Source organism: Homo sapiens, chromosome 7, assembly GCF_000001405.40.
Source record: "Homo sapiens chromosome 7, GRCh38.p14 Primary Assembly".
Classification (NCBI taxonomy): Eukaryota; Metazoa; Chordata; class Mammalia; order Primates; family Hominidae; genus Homo; species Homo sapiens.
The window spans coordinates 67,118,311-67,143,521 of record NC_000007.14 but is presented as its reverse complement, the minus strand read 5'-3'; the positions used below and the strand labels follow the sequence as shown (position 1 = coordinate 67,143,521).

At 40.6% G+C, this 25,211-nt stretch overlaps 1 protein-coding gene and 1 long non-coding RNA gene across 6 annotated transcripts in view, besides 1 other annotated feature; one reads left to right on the top strand and one right to left on the bottom strand.

The window, feature by feature from the left end:
- TYW1 (tRNA-yW synthesizing protein 1 homolog) overlaps positions 1–25,211 on the bottom strand; it is a 242,682-nt gene that overhangs the window by 95,993 nt on the left and 121,478 nt on the right. The window lies entirely within an intron of this gene.
- Positions 8,803–8,980: a silencer, noted in NCBI's record as "fragment chr7:66599529-66599706 (GRCh37/hg19 assembly coordinates)". NCBI's record gives its function as "represses an EF-1alpha promoter that drives an FKBP-Casp9 reporter gene in an ReSE screen in HepG2 liver carcinoma cells {active_cell/tissue: HepG2}" and the evidence as "EXISTENCE:reporter gene assay evidence [ECO:0000049][PMID:32094911]".
- LOC124901664 (uncharacterized) overlaps positions 8,940–25,211 on the top strand; it is a 30,839-nt gene continuing 14,567 nt past the window's right edge. Inside the window, exon 1 of the long non-coding RNA XR_007060370.1 lies at positions 8,940–24,767. This is a non-coding gene — a long non-coding RNA (uncharacterized LOC124901664). The remainder of the gene's footprint in view (positions 24,768–25,211) is intronic.

Genomic DNA, 25,211 nt, shown 5'->3' with positions numbered 1-25,211 from the left:
TGGTGGCTCTTAAGGAACACAGAGCAGCTGGAGGTCAGAGTGGAGGGAAAGCTTACTTCTAACTCCCTATCAGTCTGTGACATTTTAAGTTTATGCCAGATGAATAAAGTATGCATTAAATAACACTACGTTTTAAGTCTCAGTTCCGCTATCACTTCTTGCAGAATGCCTTTTCTGATGTCAATGTCAGCATCTCTCCTCACGCTCCTTGTAGCCCAGCACTTCTCACCAAGTCCTGAAACTATCTATCTCCCACACAAACAATTCCTCTAAGGCAAAGACCACATCCCAGTTGTAACTATATGCCCCGGCCTAGCACAGAACTTGAAATATACTACGCACAAAGCAAGAGTTGGTGGAAATGATTATAGTATAAACAAAGTCTCCAAAATATTGACAGTCATTTATACACAAAAATTATTCTAAGAAGCAAACCACTATTTAATTTTAAACTTTTTTTTTTTTTTGAGATGGAGTTTTGCTCCTGTTGTTCCAGGCTGGAGTGCAATGGCGCTATCTTGGCTCATTTCAACTTCCGCCCCCCGGGTTCAAGAGATTCTCCTGCCTCAGCCTCCCAAGTAGCTCAGATTACAGGCGCCTGCCACCACGCCCGGCTAATTTTTTGTGTTTTTAGTAGAGATGGGGTTTCACCATGTTGGCCAGGCTGCTCTCGAATTCCTGACCTCAGGTGATCCACCCACCTCAGCCTCCCAAAAATGTTGGGATTACAGGCATAAGCCACTGCACCTGGCCTAATTCTGAACTAATTTTATTAATAAAAGCACTGGCTGGCCAGGCGCAGTGGCTCATGCCTGTAATCCCAGCACTTTGGGAGGCCTAGGTGCGCAGACCACTTGAGGCCAGTTGTTCAAGACTAGCCTGGCCAACATGGCGAAACCCTGCCTCTTAAAAAATAAATCAGCCAGGCATGGTGGCATGGTGGCTTGTGCCTGTAGTCCCAGCTACTTGGGAAGCTGAGGCAGGAGAATTTCTTGAACCCGGGAGGCAGAGACTTCAGTGAGCTGAGATCATGCCACTGCACTCCAGACTGGGTGACAGAGCGAGGCTCTGTCTCGAAAAAAAAATTATAAAAAATAAATAACAATAATAATAGCACTGGCTGGATGTGGTGGCTCACATCTATAATCCCAGTGCCTCGGGAGGCCAAGGTAGGAAAACCACTTGAGGCCAGGAGCTGAAGACCAGCCTATGCAACACAGTGAGACCCCATTTCTACAAAATAAATAAATAAATAAAGATTAACTGGCTGTGGTGACACATGCCTGTAGTCTCAGCTGCTCCGGCAACTGAGGTGGGAGGATTGTTTGAGCCCAGGGGTTCAAGGCTGCTGAGAACCATGATTGTGCCACTGCACTCCAGCCTGGGCGACAGAACAAGTCCCTGTCTCTAAATAATAATAGCACTGACATTATTGAGCCCATGTGCCAAGCAATGTATTCAGAGTTTTCATGTGTTATCTTTTTTTGAGACTGAGTTTCACTCTTGTTGCCCAGGCTGGAATGCAATGGCATGATCTTGGCTCACTGCAACCTCCACCTCCCGGGTTCAAGCGATTCTCCTGCCTCAGCCTCCCGAGTAGCTGGGATTACAGGCGCCTACCACCACGCCCAGCTAATTTTGTATTTTTAGTAGAGAGGGCGTCTCCCCATGTTGGTCAGGGTGGTCTCAAACTCTTGAACTCAAGTGATCCACCCGCCTTGGCCTCCCAAAGTGCCGGGATTACAGGTGTGAGCCACCATGCCTGGCCTCATGTGTTATCATTTAATTCCAATTAGGAAGTACTCTTAACCCCACTTTACAGTGAGGAAGCAAAGACTTCACAGAGGTTCAGTGGTTTGGCCAAGGTTGCATAGCTATTATAGTATGGTGCCCTGGGAGTCAAACACTCACACTCTGCTCGCTTTCTGAGGAGTAGAAAGACCCCCATGGGCTTCCAGTGAAATATTTTGGCTAGACAAACACGAACTGTAAAAATGTCTGAACACTTCCAAAAGGCGGGGGAATAAATGGAGTATGAAAGGAAACACTCAGTGCTTTTCAGTAGCCACTGTACCAAATGGTGCTCAAACAACATATTCAAGTTGAGCAATTACTAGTCTAAGACTTGGAAAATTATTTTGCGTGTTGGTTAGAATATTTAGGGAAAATAAATATACATGATGTATTTTTATTTTTATGATGGCCTCTTAGGTTTGCATAAAGCTTAATATTCCAGTCTGTAAATAAATGTTAAAAAGAACTAAACTGCACAAACTGTATTGATTCACTCAGCAAATATTTATTGAGCATTTAATATCTGGTAAAAATTCTTCTAGTTTCTGGGGACCAATGACTAAGGCCGACAAGGGCCCTGTTCTCTGGTCAGAGAGACAGAAAAATAAATGAATAAAGATAAACACTTATAGGCTATTTTTCCCCAGAAAAATAACCTACAAAATAGAAAATACTAGCTTTCTAGGTTATTATTCCTTAGAAAAATGATCTTCTTAGGGGTGGCTTCTGACAGTTGTCCTTTTTAAAAATAAGTCACACTCAGAAAAGGTACAAGGAAGAATACAGCCAAAGGTCTCCCTCCACCCCCAGACACTTGGGTCAAAACCAATTCAATGTGTGGTTGAACCATAACTTATTTTAACTGGCTCCTGACTGATGGATAGTTTGCTTCTAATCTTCTGCTATTATAAATAATGTCACAATGAATAATCTTGTATATATTTTTCTTCACATGAATGTATGTCTCAGGGGAAATTACTAGATATGAACTGTTGACTCAAAGTGCACATTTTTTATTTTAACAGGTACCATAAAAGTGACCTTCAAAGATGAGGCTGAAGCAATTTATAGTCTCACCAGGTGTATGAGAGTACTTACTTCTTCACTAATTTTTTATCTATATTTAAGAGCTGTGTGGATTTCATTAAAGGATTTGTTTCTTTTCCTTATTTTTCTATTTTCTTATTTTCTATTGGCTTATAGGTCTTTATTTAATGATTGGCAGTAGTATTTTCAGTATGTTTAGGACATTTTAGTACCAACTTTAAACATTTTTTAAAAGTGTACCAACTTTATTCACTTTATTAACTTTAATTTCTTTTAAAATTGTATTTAAAAAGTCTTTTTTTTTTTCAGAATTATTCAATCTCAAAACACACCATTATGTAAGTGGGAAAAATTCAAGGAAAGAATAGGAGGCTGGATAAATATTTTATAAAGTCTAAAGGCAAAGAACAAGGTGATATGGTTTGGCTGGGTCCCCACCCAAATCTCATCTTGAATTCCCACATGTTGTGGGGGGACCTGGTAGGAGGTAACTGAATCATGGGGCAAGTGTTTCCCATGCTGTTCTCATGATAGTGAATAAGTCTCACGAGAGCTGATGGCTTCAAAAAGTGGGGTTCCCCTGCACAAGTTCTCTCATTTTTTTTGCCTGCCACCATCCATGTAAGATGTGACTTGCTCCTCCTTGCCTTCCATCATGATTGCGAGGCTTCTCCAGCCATGTGGAACTGTAAGTCCCATTAAACCTCTTTGTTTTGTGAATTGCTCAGTCTCGGGTGTGTCTTTATCAGCAGCATGAAAATGGACTAACACCCAAGGGATTCTGTTCCTCTTACATTAACAGAGCATGAAGCAAAATGATGATTCACAAAAAAAGATAATTTTAAGAGGGAAATCTTTTTTAAATATGGTGATCATTACAGTTTGAGGACCTGAATTTATTTGGGCATACACACACACACACACACACACACACACACACACACACACACACCTGTATACACAGGTATGTAATATGCAGTTAGCCTTCTGTATTTCTGGGTTCCTTCAGCATCTGGAGATTCAACCAACTGCAAATAGAAAGGGCAGTACTCGAGGGATGTGGGAACCTTGAATAGAGAAGGCCAACTTTTCATATCTGTGGGTTCTGCAGGGTGAACTGCAGGATGGTAACTGTAGATTTTGGTATCCACGGGGGTCCTGGAACCAATCCCCTGCAGATACTGACAGACAACAGCATATATGTACATATATACACATATGTGTATATGCATATGTATGTGTGCATACACATGTGTGTACATTTTGTTTCAAGGATTACAAATACTTGCTCGATTTTAGAAACTCAAGATTTCAAAAGATCCATAAATAGGCCGGGCATGGTGGCTCATGCCTGTAATCCCAGCACTTTGGGAGGCCAAGGTGACTGGATCACTTGAGGTCAGGAGTTGGAGACCAGCCTGGCCAACATAGTGAAACCCCATCTCTACTGAAAATACAAAAATTAGCCGGGTGTGGCGGCGTGCACCTGTAGTCCCAGTTACTTGAAGGCTGAGGCAGGAGAATTGCTTGAACCCAGGAGGTGGAGGCTGCAGTGAGCCGAGATCGGCCACTGCACTCCAGCCTGGGCGACAGAGCAAGACTCCGTCTCAATAAAATAAAAAGATCCACAAATAACTACAGGTTTTGAAGTAAGGCATTAGAGAAGTTTATATACTACATATATTTGTATCAAAACTCTTTTCAGATCAGTATATCGAACATGGAAGAGACATCTGCATTCCCATGTTTATTGCAACACTAGTCACAATGGCCAAGATTTGGAAGCAACCTAAGTATCCAATGGCAGATGAATGGATAAAGAAAATGTGGTATTTATATATAATGGAGTACTATTCACCCATAAAAAAAGAATGAGGTCCTGTCATCTCCAACATGGATGGAACTGGAGGTCATTATGCTAAGTGATATTAGCCAGGCACAGAAAGGCAAACATCGCATGTTCTCACTTAACTGTGGGATCGAAAAATCAAAACAATTCAACTCATGGAGACAGACAGTAGAAGGATGGTTACCAGAGGCTGGGAAGGGTAGTGGGGGTGTTGGGAGGAAGGTGGGATGGTTAATGGGTACAAAAAATAGAAAAAATGAATAAGACCTAGTCTTTGATAGCACAACAGGTTGACAATATAGTCAAACATAATTTAATTGTACATTTAAAAGTGACTAAAGGAGTATAATTGGATTGTTTGTAACACAAAGGATAAATGCTGGAGGGGATAGATACCACATTTTCTATCACATAATGATTACATATTATATGCCTGTATCAAAGTATCTCAGGTACCTTATAAATATATACACCTACTATGTACCCACAAAACTTAAAATTTAAAAACAAAACTCTTTTTAGAACCCTCCTCCTTCATAGAGTTATTATTATTACTTTTTTTAAAAAGGTAATTTCTGGTCTAGAGAATAAACACTCGAAGCAGAGAAACCAGGAGGACTACCAGTTCAATACGCACTATTCCCTGTGGGCATCATACAGATGGCTTGCTAGGACACTGCCTAGGCTTCACAGGGGATGGAACCCCTCGCTCCTCTCTGTGAAGTGTGGGGTGTCTGCAAAGCAAGCCCTTAGCCACAAGGAGGTAGCTGGCCAGCCCATTCTCAGAAAGTCACTTTAAGCATTAACAAGAGCACAAGGCCTAGTCCAGATCGGTAGCAACCTCCCAGGTTTCTTAGTCCAAAACTCTTTTTCGGTACTCTGGGATCAAGAGGAAGAGGTGCATGGTGTGAGAGTGTGGGCCTCTCTCTGCTGCTAAGATGAGGTTGTTTTCGGCAGTGGCTGTGATGTCTCCTTAGAGAAACACTTACTAAGCACCACAGAGATGAGAAAACTAGGCCCTTTGGACAGGATGTCTGATGCAGGGCGTCTTCATAGATTCCTCCTATAGATTCCATTCCACCTCAAATTTTTTTTTAATTAGGTCTTAATCCACACCTCCATACACACCAATCTTTCCACATAGAGAAGATGTAATGCTCAGCCACGCAGACCAAGTCACCCAACCACACCTCCCAGAGTCTTGTTTAAACTGGCCACATAGTGTTGAATCATTCCACTCCAACTAAGGTTGATTCCTGTGCTTAAAAGCATTTTGCCCAATGGAATTGTTTCCTGTTAGGTAGGCTGTCAAATACAATCTTTTAAAAAGCACAGTTTCAAATTTTCCTTTTTTCTCTTTTATTTTATTTATTTTTTTTAAAGAGATGAGGTCTTGCCATGTTGCCTAGGCTAGTCTCAAACTCCTGGGCTCAAGAGTTCCTCCCACCTCGGCCTCCCAAAGTGCTGAGATTACAGGTGTGAGCCACCATGCCTGGCTTAAAATCTTCTATACTTGTCCTTAGAAAGGGATTTCTAGCCTTAGAATAAAAAGAGTACCAAAAAATAAGGGATGACTTGCAAGTAAGTGGGAATTCCAAGGACCTGCCTAGAATAACTTTTAGTTCTAGCATCTTTCTTTCTAGAAAGTGCTGGAGGAAGGAGTTTGCTTGAAACAACCGATTCCCAACCAAAAATCCTGTAGGAAAATAACAAAACAAAGGCCAGGCGCGGTGGCTCACACCTGTAATCCCAGAACTTTGGGAGGCCAGGGTGGGTGGATCAGAAGTTTGAGACCAGCCTGGCCAACATGGTGAAACCCCGTCTCTACTAAAAACACAAAAATTAGCCGGGTGTGGTGGCAGGCACCTGTAATCCCAGCTACTCAGGAGGCTGAGGCAGGAGAATTGCTTGAACCCAGGAGGCAGAGGTTGCGGTGAGCCGAGATTATGCCACTGCACTCCAGCCTGGGCGACAGAGTGAAAGTCTGTCTCAAAAAAAGAAAAAAAAGAAAACAGGAAAACTTGCAATTTTTTCCCATCACTAAGTCAACTGGAAAAGGACAACTACACATTATTAGTTTTGACAGTCAATAATTTTAGTATTTTTATGTTGCCCTAATATAGTGATGTCAGCATATATATATATACACACACACACACACACACACACACACACACACACGCACTGTATAAACACACACACATACTAATATATGGTATGTGGATCTACACTTCATCAAATTACAAACACTACTCCACAGTCATCACAGTTCATCAGCTAACAGTTTAAATGTCACATTATTAATTACAATGATTAAATACAAAACAATTTTCTTCTCATGTGAAAAAAAAGCCAATTTATAATAGAAGAGATTATTCAGATCAGATGAAATCTTCCTCTAGTACTAATAATACCTTGGCAACAGATCACTACAGAATTACATAACTGTAATAGTTTCATACGCTAACCCATGAAAATCTTAACATCACAGTACATAACATGGAAACATACTATGCTGTTCTGGTTCAAAGAATAAATAAGAGAAGGAAAAATGATAACTTTAGGTAGCAGGACTAACTTCTGTGTTCTGGAAACGGTTATGGTTAACAAACTGAAGCTCTTTGGGGCTAAACAGGGGTTCAAATACCAGTTTGATTTTAGTGGCTGGTATTCAGGTTCCCACACACGATCACCTCCACTTTGGGCTATGTCAAATAAACAAGTGCTAAAAGATAATAAAAATATACCATGAAGCCAAACAGCTCTGTGACCTTCAATTTCCTCATCTGTAAAACAAGGTGAACAATATCTACGACTCATATAAAAGGTATGAAGATAAGATGATACATACTCAGGATTAGCAGTACCAGAATTTAGTAAGAGGTTGTTTAACAGATGTTAGCTATTAGAGCTATGATTATTAAATAAAAGAACTTATGATAAGAATGTTCTCTGCAGGACCCAATGTCTGCTGTACACTATATTTAGTTCAATAATGAAACACAACAGAGTCTCAACAGCAAACCCTGAGTGGTACAGTGACTGGCTTTCCAGGTCAGACACAAGGAACTGGTGGGGCTGCCATACCTGGACAGGGTGGATTTGCTGGCCAGGTGCTAGAAGAGCAGCAGCTCTGGGAGTGAGCAGATCCTTTATTTACAGAGAAACTCAGTTATTTGGATGCTTCAGCATAAACCATAAAGGCTTTAAAAAAAAAAAAAAAACTGTTGGCTGGACGTGGTAGCTCACGCCTATAATCTCAGCACTTTGGGAGGCCGAGGCGGTGGATTGCTTGAGGCCAGGAGTTCAAGACCAGCCTGGCCAATATGGGGAAACCTCATCTCTACTAAAATACAAAAAAATAGCCAGTGTGGTGGCATGTGCCTGTAATCTCAGATACTTGGGAAGCTGAGGTGGGAGGATCGCTTGAACCCAGGAGGCGGAGGTTGCAGCATGCTAAGATCATGCCACTGTACTCCAGCCTGGGTGACAGAGTGAGAGACTGTCTCAAAAAAAAAAAAAAAAAAAACTGTTTTAACATCATATTCAAAAAGAAACTTGGTTGGGGTGATGACAATGTTCTCGAGTTAGGTAGTGATTATTTCACAAGCTTGTGAATATACTAAAAATCATACTTTAGAAGGGTGAACTTCCTCTCTCTCTCTCTCTGTATATACATATGCATGTATTCATTGATTCATTCATCCATTCTAGACAGGGTGTCACTCTGTCACCTAGGCTGGAGGGCAGTGACACAATCATAGCTCACTGCAGCCTTGGCCTCTTGAGCTCAACTGATCCTCCCACCTCAGCCTCCTAAGTAGGTGGGACTACAAGAATGCATTAGCACACCTGGTTGATTTTTTTTTTTTTTTTTTTTTTTTTTGGTAGAGAAAGGGTCTTGCTATATTGCTCAGGCTGGTCTCAAACTCCTGGGCTGAAGCAATCCTCCCACCTTGGCCTCCCAAAGTGCTGGGATTACAGGCATGAGCCATCACATCTTGAACTTTATGATATGTAAATTATACCTCAATTATTAAAAAAAAAAAAAACACATGGGCATGGAACATTTGTCTCCTGATTTCCAGGATTCTGAGTTTTTATACAGTTGAGGGAGGTTGGGAGCCCTTGGCAGAATGAAGAATGGCTACCTGTATCTTTGACAGCTTCCGCTTCCTGGCCTAGCAGAAACTTTTTCTGCTTTTCCCTGGGTTCTCCGACATGCACCCTGCTAAGGTTCACAGAGTTGTTTGGATATATGGTATCCTTTTATTTATCTTTTTTTTTTTTGAGATGAAGTCTTGCTCTATCACCTAGCCTGGAGTGCAGTAGCGTGATCTTGGCTCACTGCAACCTCCATCTCCCGGGTTCAAGCGATTCTCCTGCCTCAGCCTCCTGAGTAGCTGAATTACAGGCGCCTGCCACCATGCCAGGCTAATTTTTGTATTTTTAGTACTAACAGGGTTTCACCATGTTGTCCAGGCTGGTCTCGAACTCCTGACCTCGAGTGATCCACCCACCTCAGTCTCCAAAAGTGCTGAGATTACAGGCGTGAGCCACCGCGCCCAGCCCCTTTTATTTATCTATTAGCACTTGTTTATTTCACCTAGCCCAAGGTGAAGGTAATCATTTCTGGGAACCTGAATACTAGGATGCATGAATTATTATATTAATCCTATTTTTACTAAATGCATACTACAGGCAAAGCACTATCCGCGGCACTGAGGATAGTGCAGGGAATGAGAAAATGTCTCTGCTTTCACAGTTGAAAGGAATAAAAACCAATAACATGCAAGTCTGGAGTTGATGCTGCTATGGAAAAAAACAAGCAGAGAAGAGGGATGGGCAGTGCTGCTGAGGAGGGATATTATTTTCCACAGGATGAGGAGGGGCTAACTCTCTGATAAGGTGATATTTGAGTGGAGTCCTGAAGGAAATGAGAAAACAAACCATATCAACATAGAGAAGCCCATTACAGGCAGAAAGAATGAATTCTAAGAGTCTAGACAAAGGCAAACAGCCAACGGAGAAATGGGCAAGGTATGGAAAGGCTATTAAAGACATGGCCAAACACAACAAAATGCTCACCCACTCCTGGGAGGATTATAAAATAAAACCTCAAATCAGACTGGCAAAACCTAAAACCCTGACAATGGCCAGGCACAGTGGCTCACACCTGTAATTCCAAAACTTTTTTTTTTCTTTTTTTTTTTTTTTGAGATGGAAACTCGCTCAGCCGCCAAGTACCTGGGACAACAGGCGCACATCATCACGCCCAGCTAATTTTTGTATTTTTAGTAGAGACGGGGTTTCACCATGTTGGTCAGGATGGTCTCGATCTCTTGATTTCATGATCCGCCTGCCTTGGCCTCCCAAAGTGCTGGGGATTACAGGTGTAAGCCACCGTGCCCGGACAATCCCAGCACTTTTGAAAGCCAAGGTAGGAGGATCACTTGAGGCCAGGAGTTTAAGACAAGCTGGGCAACATAGTGAGACTCCATCTGTACAAGTTAAAGAATCAAAAAAATTAGCCAGGCATGGTGGTGCACGGCTGTAGTCCGAGCTTCGTGGGGGGACTGAGGTGGGAAGATCACTTGAGCCCAGGAGGTTGAGACTGCAGTGAGCCATGATGGCACCACTGCATCCAGTCTGCCAATAGAGCAAGATCCTGTCTCAAAAAATAAATAAAATAGAATCAACAACTAACAAGACCAAGTATTCGTGAGGATAGAAAATAGAAATTTAATGCAGTAGTCTCCTAAGTATAATCACGTAGGACAGGGTACGGTGACAAAAATCTAATCAAGTTCAAGTTTAAGATGTACATATCCTATGATCCAGCAACTTCCAACCACAGGTTAGTTCCGAAAGAAATTATTGCACATGTGCACAAAGAGACACTCTCAATAATGTTCACTGCAGAGTTAGAAACTGTGAAACAATCCAAATGCCCATCTGTAGGAGGATGAATTTCTCCTACATCGGGGAATATTTACAGGATAGAAGGCTACCTAGCAGTTACAAAGTCTCAAAAGCTAAATATAACAATATGAATATGTCACGAGCATAATATCAAACAAAAGAAAAACAGGTTGCAGGGAGGAAGAAATGAGGGAGGCTACTATTTAATGGGTATGAAGTTTCATAGTTTGGGGGAAAGAATGGGGAGATTAAACAGCTCTGGAGATGGATGGTGGTAATAGTTGCATATAATATGAATGTACATGATACCACTGAACTGTACACTTTAAAATGGTAAAAATGTAATTTTTTATTTTAAAAAAATGGTCAAAAATTAAATCAAGTTGCTTAAGGATACATATAGGGTTACAATATTATATAAAGTTTTAAAATATGGAAAACACTATGCTCTGTTACTTATGGAGTTATACATAAGAGTGAAGTATAAATATGGAATGATAGGCCAGGAGCAGTAGATCACGTCTGTAATCCCAGCACTTTGGGAGGCCAAAGCGAGAGGATCACTTGACGCCAGGAGTTCGAGACCAACCTGAGCAACACAGTGAGACCATATCTCTACAAAATGCAAAAATTAGCCGGGCACAGTGGCGGACACCTATTGTCTCTAGCTACTTGGGAGGCTGAAGTGGGAGGACTGCTTGAGTCCAGGAGTTCAAGGCTGTGGTGAGCCATGATCATACTTGTGGCACTCCACCCTGGGCAACAGAGCAAGACCCTGTGTGATGGTTAACACTGAGTGTCAACTTGATTGTATTAAAGGATACAAAGTATTGCTCCTGGGTGTGTCTGTGAGGGTGTTGCCAAAGGAGATTAACATTTGAGTCAGTGGACTGGGAAAGGCAGATCCACCCCTCAATCTGGGTGGGCACCATCTAATCAGCTGCCAGTGCAGCCGGAATAAAAGCAGGCAGAAGAACGTGGAAAAACTAGACTGGCTGAGTCTTCTGGCCTTCATCTTTCTCCCGTGCTGGATGCTTCCTGCCCTCGAACATCAAACTCCAAGTTCTTCAGCTTTTGGACTCTTGGACTTACACCAGTGGTTTGCCAGGGGCTCTCAGGCCTTTTGGCCACAGACTGAAGGCTGCACTGTCAGCTTCCCTACTTCTGAGGTTTTGGGACTTGGAACGGCTTCCTGGCACCTCAGCTTGCAGATGACCTATTGTGGGACTTCACCTTGTGATAGTGCGAGTCAATTCTCCAATAAACTCCCCTTCATATGTACATCTATCCTATTAGTTCTGTCCCTCTAGAGAACCCTCATTAATACAATATGGAATGATAAACACCAAACATGAAATACTGAAGACAATATGGAACGATAAACACCAATTACAGGATACTGATTCCCTCTGAAAGAAAGAGAAGGAAAAGAAGTATGATAGGATAGAAATGAGGTCCACAGAGACTGCAAATGAATTTGTAATATTTATTTCTTAAGCTAGACTATAGTTATAGTGGTACTTACTATCTTATTCACTGTATCTTTTCATATGTATAAAATATTTAATCATATACACAAAAATGACAATAGAGGGCATCATTTTGTAAAATTCAAACAAAATTACCTACTGTAATGTTTCTAGGTGTTTTTGTCTAGACCCTATAAGGTAGGCACTGTTATTTACCCCATTTCACAGGTGAGAAAAGTGAGTCCCTTGCCCAAAATTACACACACAATAGGTGGCAGAGCCAGTATCCAAACCTTGGTAGCCTTGTTTCAGAGACCCAAGCTTTCAATTACTAAACCAAGCAGGTTGTTGGGAAATAACAGAATATACACCAAGAGGAGATCAGATAAATGCAATTTGCTCATTGACCAAATACTTATGTGGCAATCATGTGTCAGTCACCGTGTTAAGGGCTTTGAATACCACAGTGAACAAAAAGGCATAACACACATCTTGCCTTCCCTAGGGGACTTTTCAATTCAGAGCAAGGACAATTAAATAAGCAGTCACACCAACCCCTGCTCTCCTGGGTGGTAAAAGAAAGCACAAGTACCCTTCACCCAGAAGTGCCAAATGCAGACTGTGGGAGGGGAGGGAAGGAGTTAGGGAAGGCTGCCAAAGACAAGACTTGTGAGGTTATTTGTTAAATCCATATTAAAAAATATTATTCAGACAGTAAGAAGAGTGTTGGAGTGTTATATTTACTTCATTTTTGTATTTTGCATTTTTTTTTTTTTGAGTTAAGAGTCTCGCTCTGTCGCCCAGGCTGGAGTGCAGGGGCATGATCCCCACTCACTGCAAGCTCTACCTCCCAGGTTCACATCATTCTCCTGCCTCAGCCTCCCGAGTAGCTGGGACCCACCACCATGCTCAGCTAATTTTTTGTATTTTTAGTAGAGACGGGGTTTCACCATGTTAGCCAGGATGGTCTCGACCTCCTGAACTCGTGATCCACCCACCTCAGTCTCCCAAAGTGCTGGGATTCCAGATGTGAGCCACCGCACCCAGCCATCTGTTTGTTTTTTGAGATGGAGTCTCTGTTTCCCAAGCTGAAGTGCAGTGACACAATCTCGGCTCACTGCAACCTCCGCCTCCCGGGTTCAGGTGATTCTCCTGCCTCAGCCTCCCGAGTAGCTGGGATTACAGGTACCCACCACCACACCCAACTGATTTTTGTATTTGTAGTAGAGATGGGGTTTCACTGTGTTTGCCAGGCTGGTCTCAAACTCCTGACCTCAGGTGATCCACCCACCTCAGCCTCCCAAAGTGCTGGGATTAGAGGCATGAGCCACCACGCACGGCCTATAATTACTTCTATAGAAAGATATGACACTCTGTTAACAAAAAAAAAAAAGTAGAAATCAACACACAGAGTATCTTCTGGGAATGGAACAGCACATATATCAAGTTTCAATACGTAGTAATGATAGCTTATCAAATCTGTACTTTAAAGATGGTTCATCAATAAATGGTACTTGGGAACGACATAAAAATGAATGCTAAGTTATATCCCAACTGGATTAAAGAGTTGAGATTTAAACAACTGGGCTAGGAAAGAACCAGAAAATATACATAAGTATTTTTATATCCTAAGGGTCTAAGCATGACACTAAAAGGAGAATTCACAAAGACAAAAATTACTAGGTCTTAAAGAAAAAAGCTGTGAGACTTATACTATCAGATTTTAAAACTTAAAATTAACCCCTACGAGCCTTCTAGTTTCCAATGCAGCAAGAAAGTTGCTTGGACGTCATCACTGTGTCTTAACAAGTAAAAAGCTGAACAAATTGAAAAATCAACAACTGTTCTTAGATCCATCAGAGAAGTGAGGTCACAGGGCAAACCTGCTGTCCCCATAATTGGAGGGAAAAACAGGCAGGCACAGAGAATCACAACTTAACAGGAGCAGAAACCTCCACAGAGACCAGCGCTAACACAGGGAAACTGAACTGTAATTGACAAAGTGCTGGAGGCTCAGTGTGGACAAGTCTGACACATAAAAATTCCAGACAGACCCAGTCATTAGGGGCCCTACACTTTTGTGAGTTTTACCTACTGGAGCTCTGCCAGATTCTCACAGTAAGTATACAGGGGGAAATCCCTTGTGCTTCCGGTAAGGGGAGGGAAACAGGAACCATTTGACATGTGTCAGAGCATTCTGTTGATAACAAGGTCTGCTCCCAGGAGAAACGATTTAACCAGAACCTAACTTGCTTGGTTTTATCAGAGCCTAACTAACCAAGTGGAAGAGAAATACCCAACTCCAGCCAGCACCGGCCTTCCATGTAAGAAAAGGGAAATAGCCAACTGCAGCACACTCTAGCCAACCTGTCCCAAGGGGGAAGAAAAAACTGAGAAGTATTTGTGAAGTTCACAGTCCAGGGGTACAGCCTCACTAAAAGACTGAGACCTAGACTGGGCGCGGTGGCTCACACCTGTAATCCCAGCACTTTGGGAGGCCAAGGCAGGTGGATCATTTGAGGTTAGGAGTTCAAGACTAGCCTGCCCAACATGGTAAAACCCCGTATCTAGTAAAAATACAAAAATTAGTGGAGCATGGTGGCGGGTGCCTGTAATCCTAGCTACTTGGAAGGCTGAGGCAGGAGAATTGCTTGAACCTGGGAGGCAGAAGTTGCAGTGAGCCAAGATCGTGCCACTGCACTCCAGCCTGTGACAGAGCAAGACTCCGTCTCAAAAAAAAAAAAAAAAAACACTGAGACCTAATCATAAGACTACAGAATGCTTCCCCTCCCCATACACCATACCATCACATTATTAAAGGTCTAGTGAGAGCAGTTCCTTTTACCCAGGATATCACGTTCAGTGACAAGAAGTTACAAGGCACACTAAAAGGCAAAAAGCAAAGTTTAAAGAGATAGCACAAGGATCCAAACCAGGCTCTGACACGGCAGGGATGTTGGGATAACCCGACCAGATGCAAAGGGCTCCAGTGGATAAAGTACACAGCACACAAGAACAGATAGACAATGTAAACAGAGATCGAAATCCTAAGAAAGAACAAAATCGAAATGCTGGAGCTCTAAAACACTCTAACTTTGGAAATGAAGAATGGCCTTGAGACTGGATATGGCTGATGAAGGAATCTCTGAGTTTAAGGATTCTCAACAGAAACCTCTAAAACTGAAAAGCAAAATGAAAAAAGACTGAAATAAACCAGAATGGAATATTCAGGAGCTGTGGGATAACTATAAAGGGTGTAATGTATGTGTAACAGGAATACCAAGAGGAAAAGAAAGAGAGAAAAGAACAAAAGTAGTATTTGAACGAATAATCACTCAGGATTTCCCCATGTTAATGTCAGGCCCCAAACCACAGTCAGGAGGCTCCCAGAACACCAAGTAGGATAAATGTCAGAAAAACTATAGATAAGCATGTAAGTTTCAAACCACAGAAAATCAAATATTTAACAAAATCCAGAAAGAAGACAGAGGGAAAAAAGCCTTACCTATAGAAAAGGAAAGAATGATTTCAACTTCTACCCAGAAAGCATGCAAGCAAGGAGACGGCAGGGTGAAATATTTAAGCCCTGAAAGAAAAAATCACCACCTAGAATCTGCACCCTATGAAAATGTCCTTCAACACTAAGGGAGAAATACTTTTTCAGACAACTGGAATCTGGGGGAATTTGTTGCCAGTAGATCTTCCTTGAAAGAAATGTTAAAAGAAGTTCTTCAGAGAAAAGGAAAATGATACAGGTCAGAAACTCAGATCTAAGAAAAGAAAGGAAGAACATCAGAGAAGGAGTAAAATAAAAATGTTTATTTTTCTTATTCTTAATTCATCCAACAGATAGCAATTTGGCCAAAATAATAAGATAGCAACAATATATTGATTATGCATGCCTATGTATAAGTAAAATGAGTGATGGCAATGATACAAGGACAGGAGGGAAGAATCAGGATTATTTTGTTATTATAAGGAGGCCGGGCACAGTGGGTCAAGCCTATAATCCCAGCACTTTGGGAGGCCGAGCCAGGTGGATCACTTGAGGTCAGGAGTTCAAGACCAGCCTGGCCAACATGGTAAAACCCTGTCTCTACTAAAGATTAAAAAAATTAGCCAAGTGTAATGGTGAGCGCCTGTAATCCCTGCTACTTGGGAGGCTGAGGTAGGCAAATTGCTTGAACCTGGGAGGTGGAGGTTGCAGTGAGCCGAGATCAGGCCACTGAACTCCAGCCTGGATGACAGAGTGAGACTCGATCTCGAAAAAAAAAAAAAAAAGATTATTTTATTATCATAAAATACTTGTCCTACTCAGGAAGGAATATAGTGTTCTTTGAAAATGGACTTCAATTACTGGTAGACCTATATTACAAACTCTAGGGAAAACACTAAAAAAACAACAAGTGAAGTATGATTAATATGCTAAGAAAAGAGAGAAAATGGAATCATATTTAACATACTCAAAACCACAAAAGAAAAAATGTGGAATACAAAAATAGAAACAAAGAACAAGACCAACAAATAGAAAACATTAACAAATACAGTAGATGTTAATCCAACTATATCAAATCCCCTGAAATGTATGTGATATTGTTGCAAGAACAGACAAATAGACCAAAGGAACAGAACACAGCCCAGGAAAAGAGTCACACAAATATAGTCAACTGATCTTTAGCAAAAGAGAAAAAAGTGAAAAAAGTAATACAATGGGGAGAAGATAATTTTTTTCAACAAATAGTGCTGGAACTAGAAATCCACATGCAAAAAAAAGAATCTAGACGAACACCTTATACCTCTCCCAAAAATTAACTCTAAGTGGATTACAAAATTAAATGTAAAAGGCAAAACTGTAAGAGTTCTAGAAGATAACACAGGAGAAAGTCTAGATGACCGTGGATTTGGTAATAGCTTTTTAGATAGCAAACCAAAGGCATGACCCATGAGAGAAAAAATTGGTAAGTATTAAACATTTTTGCTCTGCAGAAGACACTGCCAAGAGATGAAAAGACAAGCTACAGACTGGGAGAACACATTTGCAAAAGACATATCTGATAAAGGACTCCAAAATATACAAAGAACTCTTAAATCTCAACAATAAGAAAATGAACAACCCAATTAAAAATGGGCCAAAGACCATAGCAGACATCTCATCAAAGATATATGAATGGCAAATAAGCATATGAAAAAATGTTCCACATCACCTGTCATCAGGGGAATGCAAAATAAAGCAACAGTGACAGAACTCTCATCCATTGCTCATGGGAATACAAAATGGTACAGCCACTTTGGAAGACAGTTTGGCAGTTTCTTAAAAAACTAAACAATACTCTTATGAAACTACCCAGCAACTACACTCTTTGGTATTTACTCCAAGGAGTTGAAAATTTATATGCAAACACAAACTTGCACACAGATGTTTATAGCAGCTGGGTTCAAAATTGCCAAAACTTGGAAGAAACCAAGATGCCCTTCAGTGGGTGAGTAAACTGTGGTACATCCAGACAACAGAATATTGTTTAGCTCTAAAAAGAGATGAACTATCCATGTGAAAACACATGAAAGGAACCTTAAATGCATATTGCTAAGTGAAAGAAGCAAATCTGAAAAGGCTACATACAGTATGATTCCAACTATATGACATTCTGGAAAAGGCAAAGCTACGCAGACAGTAAAAGATCCATCCATGGTTGCCAGGGATGAGGGAGGGAGAGATAAACAGGCAGAGTACAGGAGATTCTTAGGGCAGTGAAACTACCCCATATGACACTGTAATGGTGGATACATGTCACTATACATTTGTCCACACCCACAGATGTACAACCACAACAATGAACCCTAATGTAAAATACAGACCATGGCTGATAATGATGGATCCGTGTAGGTTCATCAGTTATAATAAATGTGCCACTCTTGCGGGTGATGTTGATAAGGAGGTAATGTACGCATGCATGGAATAGGGGGGATATGGAAAATCTCTGGACCCTCTGCTCAATTTTGTTTTGAGTCTAAAACTGCTCTAAAATATAAAGTCCATTAAAAAAAAAAATCCAGACCCCCTACCTTATGCAATACCCCCAAATTAATCTCAGATGATTCACAGACCAAATTGAAAAATAATAATAACAACACTTCTGAAAGAGGAAAACATAAGAAACTATCTTCATGACCTTGGGGTGGGCAAAGATTTCACAAATAGGACAGAAAAAGCACTAAACATATACTTTTTTAAAGTGATAAACTAGACTTTGTTAAAATGAAGAGCTCTGTTTATCAAGCAATATTAAGAGTTTAAACTGGCAAAGACAGGCCAGGCGCAGTGGCTCACGCCTGTAATCCCAGAACTTTGGGAGGGCAAGGTGGGTGGATCACTTGAAGTCAGGAGTTCGAGACCAGCCTGACCAAACTGGTGAAACCCCATCTCTACTAAAAATATAAAATTAGCTGGGCATGGTGGTGCATGCCTATAATTCCAGCTACTTGGGAGCTGAGGCAGGAGAATCGCTTGAACCCAGGAGGCAGAGGGTGCAGTGAGCAAAGATCACGCCATTGCACTCCAGCCTGGGCAACAAGAGCAAAACTCCACCTCAAAAAAATAAAATAAAATAAATAAACTGGTAAAGACAGACTGGGAGAAGATATATTCAGTACCTGTATCTGGACTTGTATTCAGAACCACTATTACTTGCAAAATCATGGAGGAATCTCTGAACACCATGTTGAATGTTATTATAATATTATAATGTTGAGAAATCAGACACAAAGGCATAAACAATCGTTTCATTTATATAAAGTTAAAAAACAAGCAAAACAAAAATAAATTTAAAAGTTCAATAACAGGCAAAATTAATCTACGATGATCAAAGTTGGCATAGTTGTTCACAACATATAAACTATATAAATAGTTGAAGGCCAGGCACAGTGGCTCATGCCTGTAATTCCAGCATTTTGGGAGGCCAAGGTAGGAGGATCACTTGAAACCAGGAATTCAAGACCAGCCTGGGCAACAAACAAGACCCCATCTCTCAAAAAAAAATATTTTTAGCCAGGTGTGGTGGAGCACATCTGTATCCCAATTACTAGGGAGGCTGAGGCAGGAGGATTGCTTGAGTCCAGGAGTTCAAGACCAGCTTGGGCAACAAAAGGAAACCACCATCTCCACAAAAATAATAATAATTAATAACATATATATAGTTGCAAAAATATGTACAACATGATTTCAATTTTATAAGTGAAATATAGACACATATGTATGAACATGCATAAAAACCGTAGAAGATGTAATGCAGTATAGTAACTGTTTACCTTTGAATTCTGGTAAAGTATGAGTCATTTTCTTCAATATCTATGTTCTAAATGTAAAGTTTTTAGCAGATATGCTATGCAATTCTTTAAGCTGATGAAAGGAAATGCCTTTGACTTCTTTATTATTGGTACTCTTGGTTCAAAAGGTCAGTATTCATTACATTCAGATCTATTATTTACTCTCCCCATTTCCATCTTTCCCATTCATCCCTCTATACAATGGCTTCCACACAAAACACTGCACCATACTTCCTTTTTGACATAGTAATTAAAGACCAACTGGTAAAGCTATTTTCTTTTTTGTCATACCTTTACTTCGTAATCTTTCTGGAAACTCACTGTTTCCTTGAGTTGCATGGAATTCAACCAGTATCTTTATCAAATTCTTCCCAGACTCATTCTCTATGTGCTTCACGTTGAAAGCTTCAACACCCGCAGACTCCCTCTTTGCCTTCTTTAGGCACTTCTTGGGTCATCCCATCTGCTTACTTGCCTTTAACTACAATCCGTTGCTAAAGAGATGACTTTCAGATCTACACCTGGTATTCCTTCCCCAATGTTCTCCTGAGTCTCCAAACCCATAGAAGCTATTATCCACTAGACATTACCTGATGCCTCAACACGAACCTAAGATGCAATACACTTACATTTCTCTAAAACGATATTAGGTAAAAGGTCTGGAGGGAACCAGTTTACTAAGGAGTTAGCCAGCTTGCAGACACTGGCTTTAGACAACATATTTGCACAAATCAAGCACAGCAGTCTTGTCTGATTTCAGAAGTGGCTGAAAGCAGGATAGTATTTTAGCTAAGCAGAGCAGGGTAAAATGGCATTAAATCCAAGCTGAATGGAATCAGCCCTGGGGGATCTATGCCTGTGGATAGGGGTCCCACGGTTTACATGAAAGTTAAAGCCTTCAAAAAAGTGGTAGGAAACAGATGTCCAGATTAGCCAGATGGGTTAAGGCTCAAGAATAGACTTTGGCACTGATGATGAGAGGTGGAAATAAACAAAATAGGTCAATAAGAAGGGAAACTTGTCAGAACCATGAAAGGGAGACGAGCTCATCCTAAAGCAAAGGAAAGAAGAAGATATATTTCATTGACTACAAGAAACTCTAGGATAAAGGCCATGCCATGATTTAATGTACCATTATCTTATGCTTCTCCTTTGTGAAAGTCTCAATGCCACCAATTAAATGTAACATGTCATCTCTGGCTGCATTCAATTTTCAAAATGTTCAAAAGTGACAAAATGTGCATGCTGCAACTCAGGAGTAGCTGAGACTTTGTCCTCAGTGTGCTAAGGACAGAAAATGTGACTCTCAGGCCTCTAGGATGGGAAGAAGGATGCAGGGACATCACACACTCCTGCTGCTCCCTACTACTGGCCAACAAGCAGGAAACTGAGCAGGATGAAATGACTACACTGTCTTTAACATGACAATCACAGAGAAGTGTAATGATAAGGAAAAATACTTATGACACGATGTTAAACAAAAACAAAAGTAACATATAAGATGGAATTAAATTTGCAAAAAAGCATGCCCTCCCCCAGTGGATTAAGTAGAAGTACTTCAAATGTTAATTACTGTGTTAAGGTCCTGGAATTATAGGTAATTTCTTTCCTTGCTTCTTTGTATTTCTCTTTACTTCCCCCAAATTGCCATAAGCAGCACATAATATTTTTATAACCTGATATAAGGCCAAATGTGAAATGTTTGTTTTTTAATTTGCAAATTGGCCACATACATAAATTGGTTTATTTAAATATTAGATAGAGGGCTATCTCATTAATGTACAATAAGCCCCTCGTAGCAATGGAACAACCATTATTTAGATAATGATGTCAGGTCAGAGTATCCTAACATCTGTAGAGAGAGGGCCAATGGTCATTGTTAACGTGCAATGCAAGAAATTATGTTGGTCATTTTTCTTTTTTTAAATATGGGTTTCAAGAATGTTAATGCTATTACTTAAACAGAGAGAAGAATTAAATAGTTCAGTTTACTACTGGATCTTGACCTTGGCATAATCATAGTTCAGCAGAAACACATCTGGTCACATTGCTGATAAAAGTTTACTGCTAAAAGCTGGCAGCGTTTTCTTGTATAAGATATATTTCTCTTTTTTTAAAAAAAGGACTGTTTGACAAGTAGCTATCGCGGACAGAAATTGAAGTTAACACATTTTTTACTCTGGTATCTTGATGGAATTGGTTTTTAGCCCACATACTCAAGTACCAATATATTTCTCTCCTCATATTGAAAAGGAACATTTTGACAAAGGATAAAGATCTGGAAATGTAAACATTGTACTTGCCAAGAGTTAAAAACAAAATATGCTACCTTCTTCTTTGGGTAGTACTAGATCAGAAATAGGCTGAAAATCTTGGGACAAATCAAAATTTTTTGTTTATAAAGTTTAAGAAATTCTCTTCAAATGCCTTTCCTTGCTCAGGCATAGTAAAAGTCTAATCAAATAACAGAAGATAACAGTATGGATGCTCTAATTAAAATATCTGAAATAACACTCTTATTTATAGTAATCTGGTATCACTTGAGTTTTTATTTTTTATTGTAATATATTTATTTTGAGACAGAGTCTTGCTCTTGTTGACCAGGCTGGAGTGCAATGGTGCGATCTCGGCTCACTACAACCTCCGCCTCCTCGGTTGAAGCAATTCTCCTGCCTCAGCCTCCCGAGTAGCTGGGATTACAGGTACCTGCCACCACTCCTGGCTAATTGTTTTTTTGTATTTGTAGTAGAGACGGGGTTTCACCATATTAACCGGGCTGGTCTTGAACTCCTGACCTCAAGTGATCTGCCCACCTCAGCCTCCCAAAGTGCTGGGAATACTGGCGTGAGCCACCGCGCCCAGCCAGCATTTGAGTTTTTATGTTTGACCCTAGCTAACACATATAACTACAAAATATATGTTTTAAGTGCTAAACAACAGTAAAACAAATCTTTCTTAATAGCATCTACTATGTCTTATAAGATCAGACATTCAGAAGGAAATAACAGCTTGAGTCAATTTAAAGGAAAATTTTTAAGAGCAGCATCCTGCCACAGATCTTCTCTCACAAGGCAACAAAAACAATGCCAAGAACAAGAAACAACAACTCTTAATTGCTACAAAATGCTCAGAAAGTCATTGCCCTAATGTGTGGGCAGTTTAAATTGCCCAAAGAAACATTCCAACAAGAATTACATAGAGACAATAATGACTTCTATTTAAGATGCTCCTGGGTTGAAATTATTTTCTAACTTTAAGTTACTGCATTACTGTCATGAGCAAACCCAAAGTAATTACAATTGAATTCATCACCCAAAGGCTAGTGACTTTGAGGTAAGAATTCAGTTTTTGGAACATTTTGACCAAAGACAGGAAGTAAACTATTAAGCTATTGTGTTAATGTTTCCTTGTCATCTTCCATACTCAAAGAACACAGCCTAGATAACAATGTCAGATGGGCCTGACTTTGCCAGCTCCTGCTGTTTAACTCCCATTTAAATCCATTCTAATTTTTATGCTATGTAAATCCAAGACCGCTTAGAAACTAAAGTAAGGCCTTTTTGCATTTCTTAAATAACATCAGTATTAATAACCAAAGAAAGCATGGATTTAACTTCGGGCATAAAACAGCAAAAGAAACCCACAAAGATTTAATCAGCTGGACAACTGGTAAAACACATATGGTACTTTACAAATCTCTGTTGAGTTTCCACCCATTCATTCTTTTAAGAAACAGACTGGGTGCAGTGGCTCACACCTGTAATCCCAGCACTTTCGGAGGTTGAGGCAGGCGGATCACTTGAGGTCAGGAGTTTTGAGACCAGCCTGGCCAACATGGTGAAACCCCATCTCTACTAAAAATACAAAAATTAGCCGGGCATGGTGGTACACACCTGTAATCCTAGCTACTGGGGAGGCTGAGGCATGAGAATCACTTGAACCCAGGAGGCAGACGTTGCAGTGAGCCAAGATCACACCACCGCAAACCAGCCTAGGCAACAGAAAGAGACTCCATCTCAAAAAAAGAAAAAAAAGAAGAAAAAAAGAAACATTTATCAGGCCTGGAGCAGTGGCTCATGCCTATAATCCCAACACTTCCAAGGCAGGAAGATTGCCTGAGGCCAGGAGTTTGAGATTGTCTCTACAAAAAAAAAAATCAAAAAATTAACTAGGCATGGCAGTATGTGCCTGTGGTCCCAGTACTTGGAAGGCTGAGGAAGGAGGACCGTTTGGGCCCAGGAGTTGGAGGCTCCAGTGAGCTATGATGGTGCCACTGTGTTCTAGCTTTGGTGACAGAGCAAGACCCAGTCTCCAAGAAAAAAATGGAAGCATTTATCAAATACCTTAAAGTGTACTATGCTAGACATTGTGCAGAATTCAGACATAAGGAAGGAATCCAGCTCAGGAGAGAGCAGCTAAGACAAAACAGAAGAAAAACAGTGTTTTTTAATAGATATAAAACTTAGGAAGGGAAAAAGGGGCAGCTAATTGTAATCAGAAAAGACTTTGCAGTATAGTAATCACAAAACTGGGTCTAGGAGGTGCACAGAATTTCTACAAGTCAAAGAATGGAAAGAAAGAACATTCCTTCCAAAATCTGGGGAGACAGTAACCGAAGACTCAGAAGGGAGAAGGTGGTGGGTACATGTGCAGAAATGGTAACGTAAGCAGGGAAGCATGGCCCTCCTGGGGAATACGGTGAAAAATGAGCCAGGAAATGTACATCGAGGCCAGACAGTGATGGGTTAGGAATGTCAAAGTAAGCGCTGGGCACAGGAGAGAAAGGCAAGTTTTCTGGGACAGTGACTCCCATATCTGGCTGCATACCAAATGACGCCTGGGATGTCTAACAAGCAGATCTCAGATGCCATGAGGACCAGGAAACTGTCATTTTTTTAAGCTCCTGGGGTGATTGTCATTATCAGTCAAATGTCAAGAAGGCATAAAGAACGCTTAGAAAAGTGACAGAAAGGAAGCAAGGAAGGAAGGAAGGAAGGAGGATTAATGGAAAAGCAGAACCAGATGGTTACTTTAGGTGAAAAAGAAAAGGAAGGTAAGTATGCCATATGAAAACACACAAGAAAGGCCAAATGTTTGCAGAAAATGACATTCAGTGTGAACATTCTGAGGCTATTGATGGCTTAGGAAATGTGGTTCTAGAAATTCAGGAAAATTAACTTCATATTTAAATGTATACTATTTGCAGACCCTTTTTTTTTTTTTTTTTTTTTTTTTTTTTCAGATAGGGGTCTCACTGTCACCCACGCTGGAGTGCAGTGGCGCAATCTCGGCTCACTACAACCTCTGCCTCCCAGGCTCAAGTGATTCTCCCACCTTAGCCTCCTGAGTAGCTGGGACCACAGGTAATTTTTGTATTTTGTTTTTTGGTAGAGACGGGGTTTTGCCATGTTGCCAGGCTGGTCTTGAACTCCTGACCTCAAGTGATCTGCCCACCTTGGCCTCTCAAAGTGCTGGGATTACAGGTGTGAGCTACCACACCTGGCCTGCAGACGCCTCTTTTAAGGTGGTTACGTGTAGTCGGTCCTCCATATCTGTGGGCTCCATTTCCACACATTCAACCAACCATGGATGAAAAATATTTGGAAAAAATAAAACAATTAAAAGTCACACAAATATTTAAAATGCAGTATAACAACCACTTACATGGCATTTACATTGTACTACATATTATAAGTAATGTAGAGATGATTTAAAGTATACAGGAAGATAAGTGTAGATTATGTGCAAATACTATGCCATTTTATTTTTATTATTTATTTATTTATTTTTTGAGACAGAGTCTCACT